The sequence below is a fragment of the Homo sapiens genome, chromosome 12 (assembly GCF_000001405.40).
Source record: "Homo sapiens chromosome 12, GRCh38.p14 Primary Assembly".
NCBI classification, from domain to species: Eukaryota; Metazoa; Chordata; class Mammalia; order Primates; family Hominidae; genus Homo; species Homo sapiens.
This window is the reverse complement of record NC_000012.12, coordinates 124,824,506-124,852,499: the sequence shown is the minus strand read 5'-3', so window position 1 is coordinate 124,852,499 and position 27,994 is coordinate 124,824,506. Positions and strand designations below refer to the sequence as shown.

Genomic DNA, 27,994 nt, shown 5'->3' with positions numbered 1-27,994 from the left:
GCTCTTGCACTTCCTGTCTCTGTGGCTGTGGGTGAGTTGCATAACCCTGCCGGGCGTGTTTCTCCGGGCCTCCCTCCTCGGGCTGTAGCGAGGGGTAAGGGAGGTCATACGCCCTGGGGAACACCCCAAAGCCTGGGTCCCTGGGATGCATCCACAGATTGTAGGCCTGAGTCTTAACACACTCCATCTGGATTTCAATGACTTCTGCCTGGTTCCAGTGCTGGGCTGTTTCCCTGTCTGAGCTTTGGTGGCTTTTGATTGACCCCTTTCCTGCCCCAGCATGAAGGTGGAGTAGCCAGAAGGAAGGGATGCGGGTGTATAAAGATGTCATCGGGGCTGTCTGTGGATGGTGGGTAAAGAGACAGCACCTGTCATGGTGGAAGGGCCACAGGAAGCGTGGAGGCTGTTTCTGGGGCCACCTCCTGCCTCCAGGAGGAAGCAGGGATCCTCCTGTTGGCATCTTGGTCCCATCAGGTGTCTTGGATGGGGCTGGGGCTGGGAGTGTTTCTCTCCCTGAGCATTTAAGCCAAGGTTCATTATTTAGAATGGAACCATTTATAGGCCGGGCGCCATTATTACATTATTCCTAAAGTGTTAGGATTACAGGTGTCATGCCTGTAATCCCGGCACTTTAGGAGGCTGAGGTGGGTGGATCACTTGAAGTCAGGAGTTCGAGACCAGCCTGGCCAACATGGTGAAACCCCATCTCTACTAAAAACACAAAAATTAGCTGGGCATGGTGGCACACACCTGTAGTCCCAGCTACTTGGAAGGCTGAGGCGGAGGACTGCTTGAACTCGGGAGGTGGAGGTTGCAGTGAGCTGAGATCGCGCCACTGCACTTCAGCCTAGGTGACAGTGAGACTCCATCTCAAAAAAAAAAAAAAAAAAATGGAATCCTTTATGTTTCACTTTGTTCTCATTAGCAGGACTGTGCGAGGCTGAGTCAGGAGACCGAGGTCCATTCTGCTTGTGATTTTGCTCCGTGCAGGAATGTGGAGGTGTGGCCCATAAGCATGTCATTCATGCAAAATCATCTACATGCATTCAATTAGAAAAAAAAAGGAAAACAGCAGTGACCCTCATAAGTAGACTTGGTTAGTGTCAATGTAGGGAGTGAGTTTCTTGTGACCCTGCTGTTCTTCCTGGGTCCCGTGACAGGGCATCTGGACAGGCTGAATGCGATTCTAGAATTAGATTCCTATGTTTTTATATGTACGCCCCAGTCTCACTTGCCAGTGGCTTCCTCTGACGCTTAGAAAATAAATGGCATCTGCACCACGTCAGGGAGAAACTGACTGCTTTGGAATTCCCAGAAGCTCTTGGAAGGGAACCTTCCTGAGGGATATTGAAGGAGAATTAAAGAATTTTCTCAGTGGCTGGCACAACTTATGGAGTCAATGCTCATTGGCTGTGATTGGCTGAGCTGGGATCACATGTGCATCCTTGGACCAATTGCTGTGGCTCGAGTAATGGACTGCTGTGATTGGTCAGCCTTGGGTCGCCTGCCCATTTGGAGCCAGGGAGGGAAGTAGTTCTTGCCCACAGAGACTCAGGTAGGAGTAGGGTGGTTCCCAAAAGGCAAAAAGGAGGGGCTGTTGTCGGGGGAAGAGGCGGCCATAGGCAGCAAAAATGGGGCTGAGCCCCTTTGCCCCCAGGTAGCTTCCCACTTCATCCCCACATTGCCTTTCACTGTCTCTGGCTGTTACAGTATTAGAGATTATTTTGTTTGGCTGACTATTCTGTTTACCAAGGCCTCTTGAGGAGGTAGTAGCTTACCAGCTGTTTATTATGTATGTATTTACTTATATTTACTTACCTATTTATTTTGAGACGGAGTTTCTCTCTTGTTGCCCAGGCTGGAGTGCAATGGTGTGATCTCGGCTCACCGCAACCTTTGCCTCCCAGGTTCAAGCGATTCTCTCACCTCAGCCTCCCAAGTAGCTGGGATTACAGGCTGCGCCACTGTGCCCAGCTAATTTTGTATTTTTAGTAGAGACAGGGTTTCTCCATGTTGGCCAGGCTGGTCTCGAACTCCTGACCTCAGGTGATCCGCCCACCTCGACCTCCCAAAGTGCTGGGATTACAGGTGTGAGCCACGAAGCCCGGCCTATTTATTTATTTTTTTGAGACATGGTCTCAGTCTGTCGCCCGGGCTGGAGTGCAGTGGCATGATCTTGGCTCACTGCAACCTCCGCCTCCCGGGTTCAAGTGATTCTCCTGCCTCAGCCTCCTGAGTAGTTGGGATTACAGGTGCCCACCACTACACCCGGCTAATTTTTGTATTTTTAGTAGAGGCGAGGTTTCACCAGGTTGGCCAGGCTGGTCTGGAACTCCTGACCTCAAATGATCCACCCACCTTGGCCTCCCAAAGTGCTGGGATTATAAGCATATGCCACAGTGCCCACCCTTTATTATTTATTTATTTAGATTTTTTGAGACAGGGTCTCACTCTGTCACCCAAGCTGGAGTGCAGTGGCATGATTACGGCTCACTGCAGCTTCAACCACTCAGGCTCAATCGATCCTCCTACCTTGGCCTCCTGAATAACTGGGACTACAGGTGTGCACCACCATGCCCAGCTAATTTTTAGATTTTTTGTAGAGACAGGGGTCTTGCTATGTTGCCCAGGCTGGTCTTGAACTCCTGGCCTCAAGCAATCCTCCCACCTTGGTCTTCCAAAGTGCTGGGATTACATTCATGAATCACTGTACCTGGCCTAATTGCTCTAACGGGGAAAGTTTCATCAGCTGTCAGATTGTTAGATCTGGACTGACTTGGGTTCCGAAGCTCAGTTCTATCTTTTATTTTTCCTTTGGAAACCAAATTCTGTAGGTAGCAGAGGTTTACTCAAGGCCACGGAGATAGTTAGCAGCCAGTGCTGGGTGGGGCCGACTGTCCCAGGCTAGCTGGATGGAGGCCAGGAGGGCCCGGGCAGCAAGGGTGGAAGGGGCCTGGGTGGGTGCCGGAGGAAGTCACTAACGAATGTTCTTCAGGCAGAAAGTTCCCAGGGTCCCATTGATACCCCTGCCTGTTCACATCCTGGCGGCAGGACTGGGATGAGGCATTTTTTAAAAAGTTGGGGAGATATCAGGGCTGGTGTGCCAAAGTTCAGGCTTTGTCCACCCAAGGTGAGAGGCTGCAGGGGTGTGCCGTGGGCAGAGAGGGGATGAGGTAGGGGTGGGAGGGATGAGCTGCCCAGATGCACCCGTGGAGGAGTTGATCTGGAATCCTAGCCACTGGGTTTACCCTGCAGTGTGTCCCAGCAGCATCCCAGGCTTCTCTCCAGCCTTTGGCAGGGCTTTAGCTTCCAGCAGCTCAGGTGGACCCCAGCATATGGACTTTGAAGGCAGGCAGCCCAGGTTCAAATCCTGGCTTGGCCACTTCCCAGTTGGGTGCCTTCAGGCAAGTGACTTACCCTCTCTGTGCCTTTTTTACTTTTCTGTAAAATGAAGTTAATAAAAGTGTCTCCTACATAGGGCTTTTAAGGTGGCAGAATTGGCACATGTCACACTTCAAATAGCAGCTCGGCAAGTGTCAAGTAAGGGCTGGCTGTTTCCAACATCTTAACCGGATAGACACAGACATAGAGAGGGATCCATCTGTCAGCAGTTTGCTGAAATGGGACCATACTATGCACGCTTTGCTGCACCGTGGGTTTCTCACGCTGTCATCGCTTGTCCATGTCGTCCTCAGTCAGCTGGGATTTTCTGGTGATGATCACGCTCTGATTCTCTAGATGCCTGGAAACGCTCCACGGTGCGGATGTACCACGGCTCGTTCTGCCGTTCTCACGAGGGAGGCATCCAGCTTGTAAAATAAAGCAGCCCAGTGTGTTCTTCCACCACCACATCACCCAAGGTTCTATTTTCAAAGATTTTATTTTGTAAAAACGGGAAGAAAAGTACAAGTTGCTGCATGTGCATCCTCTCTCTCTCGTTGCTGAGCCTTTTGGGTGCATCCTAAGGACAAGGACGTCCTTCTCCATGGCCGTGGACCACGGCCCCACTCAAGAAGGCCACGAGGATCCACACCTTTAATCTGACAGTCTGTGTTCAGATTCCCTTACGGCCCCAATAACACTTTTTGTCATAGTTGTTCATTAAAAAATTTTGAATTGGCCGGGCGTGGTGGCTCACGCTTGTAATCCCAGCACTGTGGGAGGCCGAGGCGGGTGGATCACAAGGTCAAGAGATTGAGACCATCCTGGGCAGCATGGTGAAACCCTGTCTCTACTAAAAGTAAAAAAATTAGCCAGGCATGGTGGCGCACACCTGTAGTCCCAGCTACTCGGGAGGCTGAGGCAGGAGAATCGCTTGAACCCAGGAGGCGGAGGTTGCAGTGAGCCGAGATCGTGCCACTGCACTCCAGCCTGGGCGACAGAGTGAGTCTCCGTCTCAGAAAAAGAAAATTTTTTTTTGAATCCAAGGTTGCATGCTGTGTCTGGTTGCCTCATGTGTTTTTCCTCTTTAATCCAGACCTGTTCTCCAGCCCTTTTCTCTTTGCTGGGTCTTTCAGGACACTGGCATCTGTAAAGGGGCCAGGCGGGTGCTTTTGGCAGGATGGCCCTTGATTTGGATTTGTCTGATTGCTTTCTCAGGAGTGCACGTGGTCTTCCCACAGACTCCCACACAAAAGCCTCATTGTGTGAATCAGATTGGAGCAGAGTGTTTCTGATGAGCCGGGGTTGGGTGCCTGGATCCTCCCCCAGCTCCCAGCCTGGCAGTCACAGTGCAAGTCTGAACCTCTTGGGTTGAAGAAGCCTGCAATTCCTCCTGGTCCCTTCCTCCACCTGCTTTCTAAAATTTCTGGCTCTCATTCCTTGCCTTTGAGCGGTGATGTGTCCATCCTTCAGCGGCCCTCGGCCAGCCTCTGCCCACCCCAGTGCCATCACATGGGAAGAGATGGCGGATCTGATCCCTGACTCATCCCCTGGGCCAGGAAGATTGTGGAAACCCTGGGGTCTCAGGGCTGGTCGGGTGGAAACGGGAGGCTGGATGGAGTGGCAGGTGGGGGCTTTTCCTGTTTTGCCTCTCCCTAACTGGGCCTCCCGGCAGCCACTAGCCCAGATGCCCAGGCCTCAGAGCCTTGTGGAAATTCTTGTGCCAGATCATCTTGGCCCTGTCTGGCCTCCTGGCAGGCAGGTGGAGGTCAAACTGGCCTTACTTGGCCGAGAGCCCATTGCAGCCAGGATCCCTTGGCAGCTCTGGGAACAGCCAAGTCTCCCCTGTCCTTGGGATTTCCTTCCACTGTCTGTTCCCAGGCTCCTGGACTCCACCTGCTGCAACCCCTCGCTTTGCACTTTCCACCCAGAGTCTTGGATTTCTGTTTTTTGTGAAATTTGCTCACTTTGAGGAAAGTGTAAGACATATGCAATCAAATATGTAACTAAGATGAACATGCATGCAATCACCCCACGTGAAGAAGAGGGAAAGCTCATCTGCCCCGAAGCCCCTGCAGAAGACACTGTGTTTGGTCCCAGCTTGCTTTGCTTTTTATAGTATCACTCCCTCATAGCCATCCCTAAACACCGGGATTAGTTTGGTCCGGTTTTGGACTTAACTTGGATGCAGGCATACTCTCAGTATTTTTGTTTGGTTTGGTCTTGCTGGTGTTACTTCATATGGTATTTGTGGGATCCACCCACATTGCTGCGATAAGCTGCACTCTATTTTCATGGCCATGTCATATCACAGTTCATGATGCTAATCGGAAGAAGCTGAGTATCACAGTTCATCTGTCTTTTTTTTTTTTTTTTTTTTTTTTTTTTTGAGATGGAGTCTTGCTGTGTGGCCAGGCTAGAGTGCAGTGGCGCGATCTCAGCTCACTGCAACTTCTGCCCCCCGGGTTCAAGCAATTCTCCTGCCTCAGCCTCCCAAGTGCACCACCATGCCCAGCTAATTTTTGTATTTTTAGTAGAGATGGGGTTTCACTATGTTGGCCAGGATGGTCTCGACCTCTTGACCTCATGATCCGCCTGCCTCGGCCTCCCAAAGTGCTGAGATTACAGGCGTGAGCCACCACGCCCGGCCAGTTCATCTGTTTTAACCCTGATGCCGGTGACTGTGTTCACTTCTGGGTTATGACACACTCGTGTCCCTGCCTGCAAGGGACATGTGCCTGAATCCCTCTAGGGCCCGACAGTCAGAGTAGGGGGTCTGGTCATGGCGTGCGTGTCTTCACCTGCATGGAGAAGGGCCAAGCTCTTGTCCAAAGTGGTTGCAGCGTTTCCAATCCTATCATTTGTTTTTCATTTAATAATTTATTGAGTTCAAATTCACATAACATATAATTAATCCTTGTAAATCGAATAATTCAGTGATACCACCACTTCTACCTAGTTTCAAAACATTTCCATCCCTCCCAAGTAGAATTGCCCATTCTCCACTCTTTGCAGCTCCCCAGCCCCTGGCAATCACTCATTTTCTTTCTGTCTCTACAGATGCACCTGTTACGGACATTTCTTTCTTTCTTTCTTTCTTTTTTTTTGAGACAGAGTCTTGCTCTGTCGCCCAGGCTGGAGTGCAGTGGTGCAATCTTGGCTCACTGCAACCTCCGCCTCCCGGGTTCAAGCGATTCTTCTGCCTCAGCCTCCCGAGTAGCTGGGACTACAGGCGCCTGTCACCACACCCGGCTAATTTTTTTTTTTTGTATTTTTAGTAGAGACGGGTTTCACCATGTTGGCCAGGCTAGTCTCAAACTCCTGACCTCAGGTCATCCACCTGCCTTGGTCCCAAAGTGTTGGGATTACAGGCCTGAGCCACCGTGCCCGGCCCTGGACATTTCTTTTTTTTTTGAGGCAGAGTCTTGCTGTGTCACCCAGGCTGGAATGCAGTGGCGTGATCTCGGCTCACTGCAACCTCCGCCTCCTGGGTTCAAGCGATTCTCCTGCCTCAGCCTCCCCAGTAGCTGGGACTACAGGCGCCCGCCACCACGCCCGGCTAATTTTTTTTTTTTTTTTTTGTATTTTTAATATAGACGGGGTTTCACATGTTGGCCAGGCTGGTCTCAAACTCCTGACCTCAGGTCAAACACCTGCCTCGGTCCCAAAGTGTTGGGATTACAGGCCTGAGCCACCGTGCCCGGCCCTGCACATTTCTTATAAATGAAATCATGCAATGTGTGGCCTTAAGTGCCTGGCTGCTTCCGCTTAGCGTCATGTTTTGGGGTTCATCCGTGGTGTGGCATGTGGAGTGCTGCTTTCCTTTTTGTAGCTGAGCAGGCCTCCACGGTGCGGGTGCACTGCATGCTGTTTTTCCGCGCCTCTGTGGATGGGCGTCTGGGCTGGTGGCTGCCGGGAGCGGTGCTGCTGGGAGCGCGCATGTTCGGGAACTCGCTTGGCTTCTGCTTTCAGTGGTCTCCTTTTATGCCCTCCTTCCCCTCACCCCTCTCGCTCTTCAGCCCGCCCTGCCCCTGCGCCCATCCTCTGTGTGGCTGCGTCTGTAAACCTGAGTGTGTCCTTGGACCTTGTGCAGTCCTAGATTCCGGAGCCTGCAGGTGTGGGTCCAGATCCCGGCCCTGCCTCCTGCTGCTGTGTGACCATGGACAGGCTCTTCGAGTCTCTGGTCTCTGGTGGGTGTCTGAGTCTGCATGGGAGGCAGAGGTTGCAGTGAGCCGAGATCGTGCCACTGCACTCCAGTCTGGGCAACAGAGCAGGACTCTGTCTCAAAAAAAAAAAAAAAAGAAAGAAAGAAAGAAAAAAATGTCCATAACAGGTGCATGGGCCAAAGACCATGTATTCCCGTACAGTTCTGGAGGCCGGAAGTCTGAGATCAGGATGTTGGCAGGGCTGGCTTCTCCGGAGACCCCTCTCCCGGCCTCATAGACGCCACCTTCTCCCTGTGTGCGCACATCCCCGGTGACTCTCTGCGGGTCCTAATCTCCTCTTTTAAGGGCGTCAGTCAGATTGGATTAGGGCTCACCCCACTGACCTCATTTAAACGTAATCACCGATTTAAAGGCCCTGCCCCCCGCGCCAATACAGTCACATTCTGATGCACCGAGGGTTAGGGCTGCAACATGGGAATTTTGGGGGGACACTGTTCAGCTCATAATAGTAGGGTGCCTATAAAATGGGCTAAAACCATGCCTTCCTATAGGATTCAGTGAGGACCGAGGGAGCTAGAGGTGGAAGTGCTTTGAGCTGGGGGTGGCACAGGGAGGCCCCCTTCATGTGGCCTGTCACGTCTGAGGAGAGGGCGGCTTTTCCATGCCATGCACGGTAACTCGTGTCAACATTCCTCGTGCTGCCCTGTTTAAAATCTATCCGTGTTCCTATGTGTGTATCAGGCTTATTGCTTCCTTCTGCTGCCTGGACCCCCTAATTCATGTTCATCCTGTTGTATTTATTCCCTTAGCGACGGGGGTACCTTGGTTATGTCTGACTCCTGCCTCCACAAACAGCAAATATGCTGGACCCTGCTGCCTTGTACTTCTCCACAATTTCCTGGGGATGCGCAGGAGTGGAATTGCTGTAGGGCAGAGGGGGAGCCATTTTCACCCAACATGCCTTCCAGAAGGGCCACTGCTGTTCACCCTCCCAGCTCTCACATCCTCTCCAGCACCTGAGACGATTTAGTCTTCGAGAATGTCTGGGGTCTCAGTGAGGGTACGTGGTGCAGCATTGTTCTCATGTGCTTTTCTGAGGTGTGAATTTGAGTCTTCTTCCTTTCATAAGTCCTCAGGTGGGGGTCTGAGGCTCAGAGATTTTGAGGGCCATGTTGGAGGGTCACAGAGCAAACTGGGGCTAGACCCCACCAGCTTGGGCTTGGAGGGCCTCCAGCTTGGATGTAGGGCCCTTCATAAATCCAGGATGATCTCATCTTGGGATCCTTAACTTGGTAACATCTGTAGAGACCCTATTTTTAAATAAGGCCACATTCTGAGGTTCTAGGTGGGCATGAATTTGGCAGGGGACATGCTTCAGACCAGCACTATGTGTGCAGGTGCCCAATCCTCAGATCTGCAGAGCTCTGGGTTCAAATCCAGGTCCCATTACTTGGGTCCTGTGGAAACTCACTTTTTTCCTAAAAGCCGATTTCCACCTCTGCACATGGGGCCAATGTTCTTCCATCTCACAAACCAGAAGTCAAGGCCAGGCGCAGTGGCTCATGCCTGTAATCCCAGCACTTAGCGAGGCAGAGGTGGGAGGATCGCCTGAGGCCAGGAGTTCAAGACCAGCCTGGGTAACATAGTAAGACCCCCCCCCCCATCTCCACAGAAAGTAAGAAACAAAAACAAAACAAACTGGAGGCCAAGGAGAGCAGCTGCGGATGGTCACGTGCCTCTCCCTGGGTGTGCCCAGCTCTTACCCAGAAAGCCCTGGCTGGCATTAAAAATAAGGAAGGTAAAATAGGGATATGATCAAACAAATTAAAAGTGTACGGAAAAAGAGTCAGCCTTCTGGAAAGATCACAGCACGACACTGCTCCCCTGGCCCCAGCTGGTCTTTGCTCCAGAGGTGACTTGGGTTAATAGTTCCTTGTTTTTCCTTCCTGCAATAAACATGTTTGCGTCCACAGAGGGGGACCCACACCCGTATCCTTCCCGTCCGTGGCACACGTCCCACAAGGGCACACGGTTCCCATGCTTTTCTGCCTCTTGGCTGGGGCACCTAGGTGGATCTTGGCATCTCTTGTTCCCGCACAGAACCCATCCTCATCCGAGCCCTGGGCCTCTGTCTCCCAGCAGGCTTTGCAAATAGGACCTTGTAAAGGACAGGGCTGTGTTTCCCAAAGGCCAGAGCAGTGAAGAGGGGCATGTGGGGTCGTGGGGCACACCTCTAGGACATTGGGGTCCAGGGGTCCTTTCCAGTAAGACCTTGCTGTGCTGGAAACACCCCTGTGTCTTTCAGGGCTGTTTTCAGAGTCAGGGTTGATGTGACCGCCACGTTTCCTCTGGGCCTGACAGCTGTAATCTGTGGCTTGGGAGTGCAGATAAGTGTGATGAAGCTGCCAGCAGGCCTGGGCATCTGTGTCCTTGGTGGGGGCAGGGAGAAGAGACAGGGACTGGGATGCTGGGGCCAGGGCCAGAGCCCCGCTGAGATATGAGGTCCCCTTCCACCCTGGGAGGTGTGTGGGGAGGAGCTTCCTCGAACCCCTTTAGCTGGGACGGATGGAAGAATGAGCAGCTTTGCATTTCCGGCAGCGTCTCCAGCTTTCCTGGGGCTTTCTCGGCTTGTGTTATTGATGAACTCCAGTGCGTGAGGCCATTGGAGCCTTAGAGGCCTGTTTCCCCTGGACAGGTGACTGCCTGGGCCAGAGGCAGCACTGGCATGGTGCCCTCTTGCTCCTGGCTGGGAGTGACACGGGGCGTGGGGCGCTTTGCATTCATCCCCAGCTGTTTGGGCACATTTACAACCCTCATTTTACAGATGGGACAAACCCCAGTGGAGAATCTGCTCCGGGCAGCTGTTTATGAACCACCTGAATGGGGCACACAGGACTGTGGGAGGAGGAGGAGGGACCCCCAGGGCTGAAGTGGCAGGGAAAGCTACTCATCCTTTCGGCCCATGTTTACTGCTCACAAATTGTGGGCCAGGTCTCGTGCCAAGTGTTGGAGCTACAGCCGTGGACAAAAGAGACCTGGTCCTGCTCACGGCAGCTACGCTTTAGCAGGAGGGATGGGCCATGGAGAAGCACATGGAAGAGGTGGGGTGGCGAGAAGAGCTAGGAAGGGGACGAGGCAGGTGAGCTGACATGGAGCCACTGCTGGGAAGGGGACTCCTTCTGATGTGGGAGTCAGGAGGGCCTCTCAGAGGAGGGGCTCTATGAGCTGGGGAGCAGCTGGCAAAGAGCACAGCAGGTTCAAAGGCCGGAGGTGCGAAGGAGCCTGCTGTGTTGGAGGAAGAGGGAGCAGGCCAGTGGGGTTGGGAGAAGTGACTGGAGGGGGTGAAAGGGGACAGGCATGTGGGGGCCTTGCAGGACACCTGGAGGAGTTCAGATTTGGTTTTCAATTCCATGGAGGGTTCTGAGCAGGGAAGAGCCATGATCTGACTCAGTATTTTTTTTTTTTTTTTTTGAGACAGAGTCTTTCTCTGTCGCCCAGGCTGGAGTGCAGTGGCATGGTATCAGCTCACTGCAACCTCCGCCTCCCGAGTTCAAGCAATTCTCTTTTTTTTTTTTTTTTGAGACGGAGTCTTGCTCTGTTGCCCAGGCGGGGGAGTGCAGTGGCGCAATCTCCGCTCACTGCAAGCTCCGCCTCCCTGGTTCATGCCATTCTCCTGCCTCAGCCTCCCGCGTAGCTGGGACTACAGGCGCCCGCCACCACGCCCGGCTAATTTTTTTGTATTTTTAGTAGATACGGGGTTTCACCGTGTTAGCCAGCATGGTCTCAATCTCCTGACCTCGTGATCCGCCCACCTCGGCCTCCCAAAGTGCTGGGATTACAGGCGTGAGCCACCGCGCCCAGCCTCAAGCAATTTTCTTGCCTCAGCCTTCTGAGTAGCTGGGATTACACGTGCGTGCCACTACACTCGGCTAATTTTTGTATTTTTCGTAAAGATGGTGTTTCACCATGTTGGGCAGGCTGGTCTTGAACCCCTGACCTCAGGTGATCCACCTGCCTTGGCCTCCCAAAGGGCTGGGATTACAGGTGTGAGCCACCACGCCCAGCCTGACTCAGTCTTGAAGAGCTCTCTGGCTGCTGTCTGGAGAAGGGAGTGTCGGGGGCCAGGCTGGAAGCGGGGAGGCAGAGAAGATGGTGATTTGAGCCAGGTGGGGGTAGTTTTCTAAATGGAAAGAAGGGAACATATTCGAGTTTTTTTTCAGGGAGAGTCAACAAGATAGGTCAGTGGACTGGGGTGCGAGGGAAGGAGAGGAATCAAGGGTGGTTCCTCAAGGTTTGAGGAGTTTGGTAGATGGTGGAGCCATTTTCCGAGACGAGAAGATCGGGGGAGGGAGGTTGAGAGCAGATGGAGTGTGGGCCTTAACTCTGGTCCTAAAATCAAGCGAGGACAACTCAACAACAAGAGTCAGACAACCCCATTAAAACACGGACCAAGCACCTGCAAAGAAGACATGCAGGCAGCCAGGCGCGGTGGCTCACGCCTGTAATCCCAGCACTTTGGGAGGCCAAGGTGGGCGGATCACAAGGTCAGGAGTTCGAGGCCAGCCTGGCCAAGATGGCGAAACCCCGTCTCTACTAAAAATACAAAAATTAGCCGGGTGTGGTGGCAGGCGCCTGTATGTAATCCCAGCTACTCAGGAGGCTGAGGCAGGAGAATCGTTTGAACCTGGGAGGTAGAGGTTGCAGTGAGCCAAGACTGTACTCCAGCCTGGGCAACAGAGCAAGACTCTGTCTTAAAAAAAAAAAAAATGCAGATAGCCAACGGGGACATGGAAGTGTGCTCAGCGACACTCGCTCATCGTTAGGGAAATGAGAATCAGTGAGACACACTCATACCCATTAGGATGGTCACTTGAGAAAACAGAAAATCTCAAATATTGGTGAGGATGCGGAGAAATCGGGGCCCATGTGTGCCGTTGGGGTGAGGGTGCGGAGAAATCGGGGCCCATGTGTGCCGTTGGGGTGAGGGTGCGGAGAAATCGGGGCCCATGTGTGCCGTTGGGGTGAGGGTGCGGAGAAATCGGGGCCCATGTGTGCCGTTGGGGTGAGGGTGCGGAGAAATCGGGGCCCATGTGTGCCGTTGGGGTGAGGGTGCGGAGAAATCGGGGCCCATGTGTGCCGTTGGGGTGAGGGTGCGGAGAAATCGGGGCCCATGTGTGCCGTTGGGGTGAGGGTGCGGAGAAATCGGGGCCCATGTGTGCCGTTGGGGTGAGGGTGCGGAGAAATCGGGGCCCATGTGTGCCGTTGGGGTGAGGGTGCGGAGAAATCGGGGCCCATGTGTGCCGTTGGGAATGTAGGATGGTGCAGCTGCTGTGTGGAGGCCCCCCCAAAATTTAACATAGAATTACCATATGGTGGGGCAACCCCACTTCTGGGTATCAAAGAAATGGAAGTGGGAACTTGAAGAGGAATCTGGCCACCGCGTTCATTGCAGCGCTGTTCACGATGGCCCAACGGTGGGAGCAACCCGAGTGTCCGCTGATGGGTGGTGGGTAAGAAGCTGGGGCCCATCCACACGTTGGAATAGGATTCAGCCTGGAAAAGGAAGGACGTTTGGACGCACGCTGCGACATGCACGGGCCTTGAGGAAGTTATGCGAGTGAAATAAGCCACAACAGGACAAATACCGTACGATTCCATTTGCATGAGCTCCCTAGAGTAGCCAGATCCACAGAGACAGAAAAGAGAATGGTGGGTGCCAGGGGCTGGGGGAGAGGGGGTGCAGAGCTCTTTTTCAGTGGGTACAGGGTTTCACTTTTGCAAGATGAAAGAGTTCTTTAGATGGATGTTGCTGATAATTGCACAACATTGCAAATGTCCTTAATGCCACTGAACTGTACACTTAAAAATGGCTAAGTTGGGCTGGGCGTGTAGTGGCTCATGCCTGTAATCCCAGTACTTTTGGAGCCCAAGGTGGGTGGATCACGAGGTCAGGAGTTCAAGACCAGCCTGGCCAAGATGGTGAAACCCCGTCTCTACTAAAAATACAAAAATTAGCCTGGCATGGTGGCAGGCGCCTGTAATCCCAGCTACTTAGGAGGCTGAGGCAGAGAATTTCTTGAACCTGGGAGGCAGAGGTTGCAGTGAGCTGAGATCACACCACTGCACTCCAGCCTGGGTGACAGACCGAGACTCCATCTCAAAAAAAAAAAAAAAAAAGGCTAAGTTGGTAAATTTTATGTTTACCCCAATTAAAATTAAAAACTGTGGCAGGGTTTAACCTGAAGGGAGAAATGGTACCGGCCCCTCCTGCTTGAATGGGTTGGGCTGTTGGTTTGTAGATGGTAGACCAGACGGCCCAGCCTGTTGGCCAGGGTCAAATTCCAACATGCTGAGCCTGTTGCAGAAGACTTAGCCTTTGAAGCAGGCAGCCCTGAGCTTCTGATTCCTCCAGGCCCAAACCACCGTTGCCCTATTTTACAAGACCTTGGCTGGCTTCATGACGTGTTCTTGAACTGGAGCCAGTGGTGAGCTCAGGGAGGCTCCTGTAACAATAGTTCCCTGAGGCATGTTTATAGCCGGGTGCCCTCTTCACAACAGACACATGTCCTGGGTCATCTCATTCTCTCTGCACTGCCACGGGGAGGATGGGGAGGCAGTCACGTCTCCATGTGGCATATCAGGGGACCGGGGTGGGAGGGGCTGACTGAGCCGAGGCCAGAACTAGGTCTGCGCCCTGGCCCTCTCCCTAATGGCCAGATCCGGCCTCACCCGTGAAGCTGGCCTGGCAGGGGATGGCCCTTCCTGAATTTCTGTGTGGTCTAGGCTGGGGTTGGCATGCTTTTCTGTACAGAGACAGATAGTCAATATGCTCAGCTCTGCAGGCTGCACGGGTTGTGTCTCAGCTACTCAGCCCTGCTGCTGTGATGCTGAGGCTGCCATTGACGACACAGAAATAAGTCGAGGTGGCCGCTGTGGGCCAGTGCCACTGCATTTATGAACACCAAAATGTGAATTTCATATAACTTTCACATGTCATGAAATGGCATTTTTCTTTCAATTGTTTGTTTATTTATTTTTAACATATTTTTTGGAGACAGGGTCTCACTGTGTCACCCAGGCTGGGGGGCAGGGGCACCATCATGGCTCACTGCAGCCTAGACCTCCTGGGCTCGTTATCCTCCCACCTTACTCTCCTGAGTAGCTGGGACAACAGGCATGTGCCACCACGCCTGGCTCATTTTTTTTTTTTATAGGTTGGTGGGTGGGTGTGTAGGGGGGGTCCTCACTATGTTGCCCAGGCTCGTCTTGAACTCCTGGCCTCAAGTGACCCTCCCACCTTGGTCTCCCAAAGTGTTGGGATTACAGGCGTGCAGCACTGCACCCAGCTGGCTGACTTTTCTTTTCTTTTCTTTTCTTTTCTTTTCTTTTCTTTTCTTTTCTTTTCTTTTCTTTTCTTTCTTTTTCTTTCCTTTCTTTTCTTTTTTCTCCCTTCCTTCCTTCCTTCCTTCCTTCCTTCCTTTCTTTCTTTCTTTCCTTCTTTCTTTCTTTTCTTTCTTCCCTTTCTTCCCCTCTTTCCCTTCTTTCCATTTGAAAATGCAAAATGATTGTTAGCTTGTGGGGTGAGTAGAAATAGGCATCAGGCTGGATTTGGTCCACAGGCTGTAGCTTGTTGAAACCTTTCTAAGAACAGAGAAGAATAATGTTTTTGCTTGAAAACAGCCAGCTTTATTGAGGTTGGGGTGTTTGAAAGAAGGCATATTCACTGTCTGACTTGTGTGGAAACAGTGGGGCTGGGATCAGCCCTGGTAGAAATTGTTTTTGTCCAAAAAAGCAAGTAGAGGTGGGCTGCCTGGAGTTCCCGTCATGCAGGTGCAACTGGGGAGCAGGATGAGGCCCTGATTTGGCGGGGAAGGAGAGGTTGTGCTTGATTCATCTCTGTGCCCGGGGACCAGGACTGTATGCACCTTCCAGCATTCTCTTCGCTGGTCTGAGCTCCTTACTTGCCACGCCTGTGCTGGGCCTTTACCAAGGCAGTGCCCAGCCTTTGGTCAGACCCAAGGTCAAGACTCTGTGCCAACATTGGGTTTGTGCTCTTGGGCAAGCGAGTGGTTTAATCTCCCTGTACTTCACTTTCTTCATCAGTAAAATGGAGACAAATTATTAGCTTTATTCTATTTTATTTTATTTCATTTTATTTTGAGACAGGGTCTTGCTCTGTCACCCAGGCTGGAGTACAGTGGCACGATCATGGCTCACTGCAGCCTCTATCTCCTGGGCTCAAGGGATCCTCCTGCCTCAGCCTTCCACGTACCTGGGTCTACAGGCATACACTACCACATTTGGCAAATTTTTAAACATTTTTTGTAGAGATGGGGCTCACTGTGTTGCGCAGGCTGGTCTCGAACTCCTGGGCTCCAGTGATCCTCCTGCCCCAGCCTCCCAAAGTGCTGGGATTACAGGTGTGAGCCACCACACCCAGCCTAATTGTTAGGTTTAAATAAATGAAAGCATTGCTTTAAATGGGATGCTTTGAGCTGGAAACAACATAAAACTTGCCTCCAGTGGCTTCTGTAATGCAGATGTTTACTGTTGTGCTTCCTGAGAGATGGGAGGTGGTGGTTTCCAGATGCGTTCAGCAGTTCAGAACATCGTGCTCTGCCTCAGTAGATTTTGCCCAGTGGCTCTCCGAGGTGGCTGTACTGATGGACATTCTGGCCAGTGACACATGCGCGAGACCTCTGGTGCTTGCCAGTGCGTGCCAGTGAATACGTGTGATGTCCCTGAGCTCTTCCTACTGGGTACCTGAGTCACTTGTGAATTGCGTGTCCTCTTCCCCACTTCCTGCTCAGTCCACGAGGGCAGGAATCCTGTTGGATTAACTTTACCCCTGTAGCACTGATCGCCCGCTTTGGATGCTCAGGCAGGGTTGAAATGAATGAATGACTGAGTGAATGAATGAATGAATGAATGCCACGTTCTCATCGTGTGTTACTATAGGACAGGGATTGCAAACTGTGCAGGAACATACATGGGGGAAGGGCCCTGGCATGAGGTGATAGGGAGTGGTGGGGCCCGTTGCAAGCTGGAGGGCACACCCCAACTGTGAAGCGGCTCCTGCTTTGCTCCAGCGGGCTGGGCCACGTGGCATGCAGGCCCAGAGCTGGACATCACCCAGGTTCCCAAAAGAAGCCAGAAGGCAGGAATTTACCTGCTGGTTTAAGATACTGTCAACAGATTCAAATATTTTGAAATATGTGATTCAAAACCCATCTACTGGCAAAATCTGGCCCATGGGCCCAGTTTGTGGCATCTGTTTCAGGAAGAGACAAGACCTAGTTTGTGTTTTTTTTAGTGGGGGCGGGGAGGATGCGGTGTATAAGAAATTTTGAGTGAATTAAAAAAAATTTATGAAAAATTTCAAGGGCTGGGTGCAGTGTCTCACGTTCGTAATCCAGCTCTTTGGGAGGTTGAAGCGGGAGAATTGGTTTAGGCCAGGAGTTTCAGACCAGCCTGGGCAACATAGCGAGACCCCTACAAAAAATAAAATCTACAAAAAATGAAAAAATTAGCTGAGTATGGTGACAGAAGCTGCTGTGGTCCCAGCTACAAGGAGGCTGAGGCAGGAAGATGGTTTGAGCCCAGGAGTTCAAGGCTACAGTGAGCTCGGACTGCACCAGTGCACTCCAGCCAGGGTGACAGAGCAAGACCCTGTCTCTTAAAAAAAAAAAATTCAAACATACATAAAAATAGACCGGTGCGATGGTCACGGGCCCTGTAACTTGCTGAGGAGATACCAAGTCTTGCCTTCTGCACGTGCCTCCATACACTTTCCCCTTTTCCACATTGTTCTGGGGCTCATGTCAGACATTGCCTCATCCGTCAGTGTCTCTAGTATAGCCACGGCACTTCATGGTGCATTGGAGTCTGGACGCTGGAGGGCTCACTAAAACACGGATCACCAGGCCCCAGCCCCTGAGTGTCTGAGTCGGCAGACCTGGCATGGAGCCTGGGAATCTGCTTTTTTATCGAGTTCCCAAGTGATGCTGATGTTGCTGGTTTGGAGACCGCCTTTTTTTTGGGGGGGTGGACAGGGTCTTGCTCTGTTGTGCAGCCTGGAGTGTAGTGGTGCAATCACAGCTCACTGCAGCCTCGACCTTCTGGGCCCAAGCAATCCTCCTGCCTCAGCCTCCCAAGTAGCTGGGACTACAAGTACATGCCACCATGCCTGGCTATTGTAAAAAAATTTTGTTCTAGAGATGAGATCTTGCTATGTTGCCCAGACTGTTGAACTCCTGGGCTCAAGTGATCCTCCTATCTTTGCCTTCCAAAGTGCTGGGATTACAGGCGTGAGCCACCACGCTCAGCCAGGGACCACACTTCAAGAACCACTGCCCGAACAGGTACCTAGTAAACACCACCACAATGATAAAGCAAAAGAAAATCCCCAAGCATGACCACAGTACTATGCTCACACCAAAAGTCGTTCTGTAGGGCAGTAATGAGGTTTGAAAGGTGGACCTGCTCCAGTGTTCAGAAATTGCCCGAGACCTCATGCCTGGAGTGGGAGGCTCTGCCCGGACCCTCAGCCCCTTGTTGGTTGGGCCCCTTTTGGGGGCCTCAGGGGCTGTGGCTCAGGGACCAGCACAAGGGACTGGCACCGGTGACGTCTGTTTCTGGTCCCGGCCCAGCCTGGAAGTTTCTGGGAACCTGAGGACCCTGGAGTGGTTCTGACCTCTGGCTGCCTCCCTGTCCCCCCGTGTGTCCCGTGGGAGCTCACTGGCTTGGGAGGCCTGCTTTTGACAAGACCCCTGGCTCTGGCCTTGCAGGGCCCCTCAGGCCCCTGCTGGCTGTTGCCTGCATTCTTCCTCCCATGTGGCTGAGGATGAAGCTGGCTTAGCCCTTTTCAGGGCGGGCCTCGGTTTGTGTTTCTGGACACCCTCGTGTCACTGGCAGGAGGTCTCGGGAGTCACGAGGAGGCAGTGCAGGCAGCACGGGCACGTCCGCAGCCCAGAGGGCTTGCTTTTCAGATCCCAGCTGCAAGAACAAAGTGCCCCCGCTGAGCTGCTTGAAAGCAGCTGCGGGAGAGTGTCCTGCTCCGCAGATCATTCCCCGGCCCGGGTTTCTCTTAGGACAGCTCAGGCCAAAACACAGCAGGGTTCAAAAGCGGGGGACGTGTGAGCATCCTGGGCGTGGAGCTTCCCATTAAAGAGGACACTGGGCTTCCTGCCGGGTCCACCTTGTTTCTAGCGAAGCCTGCCTTCTGGCCAAGATAGGGCTGTGGGGAGAGGAAGGGGTGCACGGGGCAAATGTCACACTCCCTGGTGCAGGGGTGTTCCCTGGGGTGGAGGGGGCTGTGTGGGAGGATGCTCTGGGGTCTCTGGGTGGGTGTGGCAGGCTGAACAATGTCCCCAAAAGGTGCTGGCGTCCTGATCCCCAGGACCTGTGAATATGTGACCTTCCTCAGCAAAAGTGGCTTTGTAGGCGTGATTAAGTTAAGGATCTTACACCAGGCATGATGGCTCACACCTGTAATCCCAGCACTTTGGGAGGCCAAGGTGGGAGATTTTTGAGCCCAGGAGTTGAAGACCAGCTTGGGCAACATAGTGAGACCCCATCTCTATAAAAAATTTAAAAATTAGCCAGGCGTGGTGGTGTATGCTTGTGGTCCCAGTTATGTGGGAGGCTGAGGAAGGAGGATTGCTTCAGCCCGGGAGTTCGAGGCTGCAGTAAGCCGTGATCACACCACTGCATTCCAGCCTGGCAACAGAGTGAGACCCTGTCTCAAAAAAAAAAAAAAAGTTAAGGATCTTGAGATGGGAGATGAACTTGGATTGTCCCAGGGGCCACAATGCTTTCACAAGGATCTTTGACAGAGGGAGGCAGGAGGGTCAGAGTAGGAGATGTGACCTCAGAAGCAGGGGTTGGAGTGATAAGGGGACAGGAGCCAAGGAATGCGGAGGCCTCTTAGAAGCTGGGAAACGGAAGGCAATGGATTCCCCCTGAGCTCCAGAAGGAAGCACCCTGCCTGCACCGTGACTTTCATCCCATCTCAGGGGCAGTCCCAGTTTGGACTTCTCCCCCCGAGAACTGTAAGATAATAACTTTGTATTGATCTGAGCCAGTGTTAATTGTTAATTCTTACAGCAGCAGTGGGAAGCTAATACAATGAAAATGCTTCCATTAAAGCCAGGTCATTAACATGATAGTATAATCTGGTTTGGGTGGGCTTAAATAAAATATTTAAACTTAAAATAATGTTGTGTTAATATGTGAACTTTTGAAATTGTCAGTGTTTTTACAAAAAGACCTTAATGTTCTGGAAAAAGTATAAATATGGGGTGCACATTTTTTCCTTTTGCTTGAAGCTGTAATATGATTCGGTGAGGCACTGATTTGGCCCTCCCTGTATTGCCGCGACAGAGCCTGCTTGTTTTAAAATAACTTTCTGTTTTAGAACAGTTTTTTTTTTTTTGAGACCAAGTCTCACTCTGTCGCCCAGGCTGGAGTGCAGTGGCACAATCTCGGCTCACTAGAACCTCTGCCTTCCAGGTTCAAGTGATTCTCCTTCCTCAGCCTCCCAAGTAGCTGGGACCACAGGTGCCTGACACCACACCTGGCTAATTTTTGTACTTTTAGTAGAGTCGGGATTTCACTATGTTGGCCAGGCTAGTCTCCAACTCCTGACCTCAAGTGATCCACCTGCCTTGGCCTCCCAAAGTGCTAGGATTCCACAGGTGTGAGCCACCGCGCCCGGCCTAGAACAGTTCAACTTTCAGAAAAATTGGGAAGATAGTGCTGAGTTCCCACATATCCCACAGCCAGTGTCCCCTGCTATTAACATCTTAAAGGAATGGGATACATTTGTTGCTATGAATGAACCAGTGTTGATACATCAGTAATAACTAACATCCAGACAGGATTCACGTTTCCTTCGTTTCTCCTTCGTATCATTTTCTGTCCCAGGACCCAATCCAGGGCCCCACATTGCGTTTGTCCCTCACGTTGCCTTAGGATCCTCTGGTCTCTGTGGGTTCTCAGACTTTCCTGGCTTTGGATGACCTGGATTGCGTTCCTGAGCACCGGCTAGGAATTTTGCAGGACGCCCCTCTGCTGGGATTTGTCTGTTGTTCTTCTATTGATTAGGCCCTAGTTCCGGGTTTTGGAAGGAAGATCGCAGTGACGAAGGGCTGTTCCCAGCACATTATGTCAACATGACCTGTCCCTGCTGCATGGGTCCTATTCTTTATTCCTTGTTACAGGTAAAGAAACAGGCACAGGAAGTTGTATCAGGCGCCTGCTGGTAGGTGGAGGATGGGCAGGGGGTTGAGGGGACAGGGAGTGGACAGAGCCCCTTTGCTGGTAAAGAGGGGACCCCAGACCTCTCACGTCTCTCCAGGGCCCCTGGTGGTCTCCTGGCTGGCCTCGCTGCTCTGCTTCAGAAATCAGATTTGACGGGGCACTGGGACCCTGATTGGGCCTTGGTGGCTGTAGGTGCTCTCTTATTAGCGACACCACTTGAGGGTGTATTGAACATCTGAAGAGTACCCAACCCTGGATCAATAATTTTTTGCTTTAGGCCAGGCGCAGTGGCTCACGTCTGTAATCCCAGCACTTTGGGAGGCCAAGGTGGGCCGATCACCTGAGGTCAGGAGTTGGAGACCTCAGCCTGGCCGACATGGTAAAACCCCATTTCTGTCAAAAATACAAAAATCAGTCCAGGCGCGGTGGCTCATGCCTGTAATCCTAGCACTTTGGGAGGCCGAGGCAGGCAGATCACCTGAGGTCAGGAGTTTGAGACCAGCCTGGCCAATTTGGCAAAACCCCGTCTCTACTTAAAAAAATACAAAAATTAGCCAGGTGTGGTGGCGGGCATCTGTAATCCCAGCTACTTGGGGGGCTGAGGCAGGAGAATTGCTTGAACCCGGGAGGCAGAGGTTGCAGTGAGCCGAGATCGCGCCACTGCACTCCAGCCTGGGTGACAGAGCAAAACTCCGTCTAAAAAAAAAAAAAAATCAGCTGGGCATGGTGGCGTATGCCTGTAGTCCCAGCTATTCTGGAGGCTGAGGCAGGAGAATTGCTTGAACCTGGGAGGTGGAGGTTGCAGTGAGCTGAGATCACACCACTGCACTCCAGCCTGGGCGACAGAGTGAGACTCTGTCTGAAAAAAGAAAAAATTTTTTTTGCTTTAATTTTTTTCTTTTTAAAAATTGAAGTATCAAATGCATTAAGAAAAGTGCACAATTTCGGTTAGAGGTTGATGGATTTTCACCTAGGTATGCACGCTTGTAATGACCCCCTATACCAAGTGTAAACGCCTCCCCCGCACCCCTCCCTGTCAGTATCCACCCCTGAGGTCCTGCTGCCCCCACCTCTATCCCCATGGATTGGTTTTGCCATTCCCCGGGACGTCACTTATATGGACTCATGCACGTGGTCCCTGTGTGTGATTTACCCTGTCATTGTGTGTCTCAATTGGTCATTCCCTTTTGTCTCTGGGTAGCATTCCATGGTATGAGTGTGTCCCCATTTGTCATGCATTCACTTGCTTGTAGACATTTGTGTTGTTTCCAGTTTTGGGCTGTTATGGGTACGGCTGCTATGAGCATTTGTGGATAATCTTTGTGTGGGTGCATGCTTTCATTTTTCTGGGACAAATACTGGGGGTGGGATTGCTATATTGTAGGGTGAACGTCCAGCTTTGGTAGAAAAAGTATATTCCACAGTGACTGCACTAATGCACTTCCACCAGCAATGTGTGAGCACTCTGGCTGCTCCACATCCTCACCAGCACTTGTTATTGTCAGTCTTTTTCATTGTAGCCATTCTGGTGTATGGCATGGGATCTCACTGTGAGTCCAGTGGACATTTCTCTGATGACTAAGCCACCCAGGGCTGGTGGGTGGCTCCAGGAAGTCACAGGAATCCTTTCTCCTATCTCCTATTCTGCTCCGCCCTTCTTCATGTGTGGCTTTCATTCTTAAGGGTGCCTCATGATCCAAGATGGCTGCTCTAGCTCCATCCATTGTGACTGAATTCCGGGCAGCAGGAAGGGGGACTTATCAACAACTACATAGAAATTTCAGATATTGATAATGTCAGGGAGATAAAACAGGGTGATGAATATAATGTGATGGGGGAAGGGCTGCTTTAGGAAGAATGGTATTTTCATCCATTTTGTTCACTATTGAAGTGCCCAGGCCTAGAGCAGAGCCTGCCATACAGTGGGGCTCAATAGAGATGGTTAAGGGATTGAAAATTGCTCAGGGAAGGTCTCACGGAGAAAGTGACTTTAGACTTGAGAAGTGAGGGGCTCACTTTTGTGGGCATCAGGGGAAAGATTGCCCCTGGAGGAGCAAAGAGTCAGTGCAAAGGCCCTGTGGCAGAAACTTGCCTGGTGGCTCAGGAGCACAGCAAGGCCAGTGTGGCTGGAGCAGAGTGAGCGAGGCAGATAGGAATGGGGGAGGAGACTGGAGTGACTATAGGGAGCTGGGTTGTGCAAGACCTCATAGGTCACTGTCAGGAATTTAGATTCTATTCTGAGATAAATAGGGAGGCATGGGGGAGGTTTGAGCAGAATGACATGCTCTGACTTTAATCTTAAAAGGATAACTTGGATTCTGTGGGGAGAACGGGGCGGGGGGCAAGAGCAGAGGCAGGAAAACAGCGGGGAAACTACGGCACCCATCCATACAAGCCAGGATGGGGGCCAGGATGGTGTTGGAGAGAAGTGGATGGATTTGAGGCATGCTTTAAAGCGAGAGCAGCCCAGCCTTGCTGATGGAGGGTGCTAGGTGGGAGGAAAATGGAGGACTCAGGAATGACTCAACCTCTTCGCTTAAGCAACTTACAAGCGTGGGTTTCTTGTAAAAACCTTTTATTTTAGTCTTCTTACCTTAGTCCTTTAAAAATCAAAAGAAGTTGGAACATGAGCCAAGGGTGTGGTGTTCCCAAGTCCCAGATTGGATTAGCCTGTGTCGTAGTTGTTCCTGCATCTTAAGGCCCCATGGAGCTGGGGATGCCTGGAGCCCTGGGATTGAGAGTGTAGTCAGCCACTGACTGCTGGTCCAGAGTGGGCAGGGCCTGGCCTTGTCCCAGAACTAGGCTTCGTCTGGGCAAATTGGCTTCTTGGCTCATTTGGTCAGAGGTGTGTTTCTTGGAAGCCTGTTTTCTCTTCTCATAGGAGGAGGAATTAGACCTTGCAATTCAGTGGCCAGGTCAAGTTAATGATTCATTTGTGAAGCTCCCGTGCAAGGAGCCCAGCGGGGATGGCCTAGGAGAGAAGCGTGAGGGCACAGGCCTAGACGTGGATACGGAGCCTGGGGCTCTGTCTCTCCCTGCTCCTGTGACCTTGGTCAGGCATTTGGCTTTGGAGCCTCAGTGTCTGCTTCGATGAGATGAGCCATTGAGAATTTAAGAGGTGAAGTAGGTGGAAGTGTTTCGCTACCTGAACAGGGCCGGGCAGATCGTCCAGACGATTCTGCTCCCCTGGTGTCTGAGGGCAGGGGCGTCTCAGGGCAGGGGCCCCATCGTGTTCATCCCTGTGTCTTTAAATTCCTAGCATAGCATCTAGCATGGGGCGGATGATTGTACAGGGCATGAACTGCAATCCCAATGAGGTCAGAGCAGCCTCACTGTAGGCCGAGGTCGTTCCAGTGGGCTTCATGGAGGAGGTGGCACCTGGGCGAGCGGGGTGTTAGGTTTGGAGGTCAGGGGCCTCTCCAGGTGCAGGGGAGAGTGCTGTGGGTGGTAGGAAGAGAATGCTAAAAATTAATGTCTATGAAATCTTCATCTCATCCATCACACATTTACCGAGTTGTTGCCCCGGCCTAAACAGGCGGTACTCTCTGTGTATTTAAAAAAAAAAAAATCCCTTCTTAAGTATGAGCTGTTTAAAACACACAAAGGAGGACTAGCGTTACCACCCGCTAGACATTTCCACGTTGATTATATGGTTTCAGGTCTCACTTTTGCTCATTCACCCAGAAAATATTTACAGAGCTCCTGCAAGGTGCCAAGAGCTGTCCCAGGCCCTGAGGACAGACACATCGCCAAACAAAGCAGCTGAGGATCTTGCCCTTGTGGGTTTATGGCCAGGCAGGTGATACAGATGGACAGCAATAAACCTGATAAGCTAATTATACCGTGTGCTCGAAGGCCACAAGCAGCATGGAAACAACACGGCAGGTCGGGAGGTCAGGAGTTTTAGGGGCAGGTTGGATGAGCCTTCTGAGAAGGGGGCATGTAAGCAGAGATTCGAAGGGGTGAGGGATTTGACCACGTGTTTAGGAGGAAGCAGTGGGTGCAAAGGCCCTGGGGCAGGAGCGTGGCCTCTTGGACAGGATAGCAAGGAGGCTGTGGGGCTGGGCTGAGTAACAGACAGTGGTTGTGGAATGAGACCACCGCTTCTGCTGTTGTCCTTCCCAGCTTCTCCCCAGCCTCCCCTTTTCCCTAGTTTATAAGACAGGAGAAAAGGGAGAAAGCAAAAAGATGGAAAGAAACAGAAGTAAGATAAATAGCTAGACGACCTTGGCGCCACCACCTGGCCCTGGTGGTTAAAATAATAATAATAATAATAATATTAACCCCTGACCAAAACTACTGGTGTTATCTGTAAATTCCAGACGTTGTATGAGAAAGCACTGTAAAACTTTTTGTTCTGTTAGCTGATGTATGTAGCCCCCAGTCACGTTCCTCACACTTACTCGATCTATTATGACCCTTTCACATGGACCCCTTAGAGTTGTAAGCCCTTAAAAGGGCTAGGAATTTCTTTTTCGGGGAGCTCGGCTCTTAAGACGCGAGTCTGCCGATGCTCCCGGCCGAATAAAAACCTCTTCCTTCTTTAATCCGGTGTCTGAGGAGTTTTGTCTGTGACTTGTCCTGCTACAGTTGGATGTGGGGCCAGAGAGAACACAGGGGCCAGACCAGGCAGAGGGGCTTGTAGGCCAATGTTCGGACGGTGGCTCGTATGTTATTTTCAAGAAATAACATGTTCACAATGACAGTTAAAGCTTTCCCCACATCCCCAGCCCCCAGCCCTCTCCTGAGATTGTTTGCAGGTATCATTTCCCTGAATGTTTTTCTACATTTCCACATGGGTTTGTCTTCAGAAAGAATATAGAGTATTATTTCATGTGTTTGGAAAATTCACATCAAGAGGCCCATGTCAATTGTTTCTTTCTTTAGCCTTTTCTTCACTCAAGATTTTTTTTTCTTTAAAAATAAAAATTGAGGCCAGGTGCAGTGGCTGACACCTATAATCCCAGCACTTTGGGAGGCTGAAGCGAGTGGATCTCTTGAGCTCAGGAGTTCAAGACCAGCCTGGGCAACATAGTGAGACCTTGTCTCTACTAAAAGCAAAAAAATAAAAAAATAAAAAAATAGCCGGGCGTGGTGGTATGTGCCTTGTAGTCCCAGCTACTCAGGAGGCTGAGGTGAGAGGATTGCTTGATCTGGGGAGATCGGGAAGTCAAGGCTTTCCAGCCTGGGCAACTGAGCGAGACTCTGTTTCAAAATAAATAAATAATAAAAATTATGTATATTTAAGGCATCCAAATGCTGTTTTGCTATATACACACACATAGTGAAATGATTACTACAGTTAAGCAGATTAACATATGTATCTCCTCATATAGTCACCTCTTTTTTTTTTTTTTTTTTTGAGACAGGGTCTCGCTCTGTCACCCAGGCTAGAGTGCAGTGGGGTGATCACGGTTCACTGCAGCCTTGAACTCTCAGGCTCAAGTGATCCTCCCACTTAAGCCTCCTGAGTAGCTGGGACCATAGGTGCGCGCCACTGTGCCTGGCTAATTTTTGTATTTTTTATAGAGATGGGCTCCCTATGTTGCCCAGGTTGTTCTCAAACTCCTGACCTCAAGCGATCCTCCCACCTCGGCCTCCCAAAGTGCTGGGATTACAGGCATGAGTCCCGGCCACCTCTTTGTTTTTAGTGGTGAGAGCACCTGAAATCTGCTTCCAGTATACAGTACAGTATTAATCACAGTCCTCGTGTTGTGCATGCAACCTCCAGACCACCCATCCCACATGACTGCAGCTTTGCGCCCTGTGACCTGCATCTCCCCACCTCCCCAGCCTCCGCCCCGTAAGCACCATTCAACTCTCTGTGTATTCAATGTCTTCAGATTCCTCACCTCTAAAAGACAAATCTGGAAGTATTTGTCCTGCAGTATTTGTCCTTCTGTCAAGATTCTGCCTTTGAGATATCTGCAAGTCGATGGCGTTTACTCACTGTGCAGCCACCGTGTGCAGAAGCCCAGCTTATCTTTGACTGAGAACCTGGCTGGGCTCTCTGTTGTTTTTCAAGGCAGGGTCTCGCTCTGTCACCCAGGTTGGAGTGCAATGGTGTGATCTCGGCTCACTGCAACCTCCGCCTCCTGGGCTCAAGCGATTCTCCCACCTCAGCCTCCCGAGTAGCTGGGACTACAGGTGCATGTCACCGTGCTTGGGTAATTTTTGTAGTTTTAGTAGAGACGGGGTTGCACCATGTTGGCCCGGCTGGTCTGGAACTCCTGACCTCAAGTGATCCACCCGCCTCGGCCTCCCAAAGTGTTGGGATCACAGGCGTGAGCCCCCGTGCCTGGCCCTCTGTTCTTTTTTTGAGGTCTGACAATTCTTCTGGCGCTTTCTTGCACACTTAGGAGAATCTTTCTAGGGCAGAGTTTTCAAACTGTCAGATGTGATCAGATTGTGGGTTGTGAAATAAGTGGGGTGGGTGGGGATCAGCTTTTTTTTTTTTTTTTTTTTTTTGAGATGGAGTCTCGCTCTGTTGCCCAGGCTGGAGTGCAGTGGCGCAATTTTGGCTCGCTGCAACCTCCGCCTCCTGGATTCAAGCGATTCTCCTGCCTCAGCCACCCGAGTAGCTGGGACTACAGGCATCTGCCACCACGCCTGGCTAATTTTTTTGTATTGTTAGTAGAGACAGGGTTTCACTGTGTTGGCCAGGATGATCTCGATCTCCTGACCTCATGATTTGCCCGCCCCAGCCTCCCAAAGTGCTGGGATTACAGGCGTGAGCCACTGCACCTGGCCTGGGATCAGCATTTTAAAAACAGAATGGAATAGGATAGAATACCAGAGGGGCGAATAATGGAGTCATAACGTAAGTTGCATCATGCTGGGAAGGTGCGTATTCCCTCATGAGGCTTCTGGTGGGTGTGCAGGTCGTGGCCCTAGCCTGGCAGGAGCTGGGAAGCTGGTGCTCTGCACCATGTCTGAACAGGGAACCCACAGACCATGGGGCTTTGCTCACACCTGACCCGATTAGAAACTGTCCCGACTCCCCAGTGGCCTGACCCCCGCTGTGCACAGCGGTCCTGTTTCCAAACATCTTTGCCTGTAGTTGTTTTCTTGGATGTCCTAATTTTTGCTCATCTACTGGGAAATGATATCTCATTTTAATTTGGAGTTAATCTTTCTTTTTGAAATTGTGATTAAGATCCAGTTAACGTAAAATTCACCAAAACCAT

General features: G+C 51.4%; 1 protein-coding gene across 20 annotated transcripts in view, besides 5 other annotated features; it reads left to right on the top strand.

The window, feature by feature from the left end:
• SCARB1 (scavenger receptor class B member 1) overlaps positions 1-27,994 on the top strand; it is an 87,009-nt gene that overhangs the window by 11,365 nt on the left and 47,650 nt on the right. Inside the window, exon 1 of one of the 20 annotated variants that reach the window (NM_001367982.1) lies at positions 12,829-13,256. The exons of the other annotated variants lie outside the window; for them this stretch is intronic. Within the exon in view, the coding sequence (NP_001354911.1) occupies positions 13,254-13,256 (3 nt within the window). The 5' untranslated portion in view covers positions 12,829-13,253. Of the gene's footprint in view, positions 1-12,828; positions 13,257-27,994 lie in introns of those variants that run through there. 20 annotated transcript variants of the gene reach the window in all.
• Positions 12,141-12,665: an enhancer, noted in NCBI's record as "H3K27ac-H3K4me1 hESC enhancer chr12:125324381-125324905 (GRCh37/hg19 assembly coordinates)". NCBI's record gives its function as "activates a minimal SCP1, AML or CMV promoter by ChIP-STARR-seq in naive H9 embryonic stem cells {active_cell/tissue: H9 hESC(naive)}" and the evidence as "EXISTENCE:reporter gene assay evidence [ECO:0000049][PMID:30033119]".
• Positions 12,666-13,192: an enhancer, noted in NCBI's record as "H3K27ac-H3K4me1 hESC enhancer chr12:125323854-125324380 (GRCh37/hg19 assembly coordinates)". NCBI's record gives its function as "activates a minimal SCP1, AML or CMV promoter by ChIP-STARR-seq in naive H9 embryonic stem cells {active_cell/tissue: H9 hESC(naive)}" and the evidence as "EXISTENCE:reporter gene assay evidence [ECO:0000049][PMID:30033119]".
• Positions 24,204-24,383: an enhancer, noted in NCBI's record as "active region_7304". NCBI's record gives its function as "activates an Ori minimal core promoter by ATAC-STARR-seq in GM12878 lymphoblastoid cells {active_cell/tissue: GM12878}" and the evidence as "EXISTENCE:reporter gene assay evidence [ECO:0000049][PMID:35858748]".
• Positions 26,452-27,173: an enhancer, noted in NCBI's record as "H3K4me1 hESC enhancer chr12:125309873-125310594 (GRCh37/hg19 assembly coordinates)". NCBI's record gives its function as "activates a minimal SCP1, AML or CMV promoter by ChIP-STARR-seq in primed H9 embryonic stem cells {active_cell/tissue: H9 hESC(primed)}" and the evidence as "EXISTENCE:reporter gene assay evidence [ECO:0000049][PMID:30033119]".
• Positions 27,174-27,895: an enhancer, noted in NCBI's record as "H3K27ac-H3K4me1 hESC enhancer chr12:125309151-125309872 (GRCh37/hg19 assembly coordinates)". NCBI's record gives its function as "activates a minimal SCP1, AML or CMV promoter by ChIP-STARR-seq in primed H9 embryonic stem cells {active_cell/tissue: H9 hESC(primed)}" and the evidence as "EXISTENCE:reporter gene assay evidence [ECO:0000049][PMID:30033119]".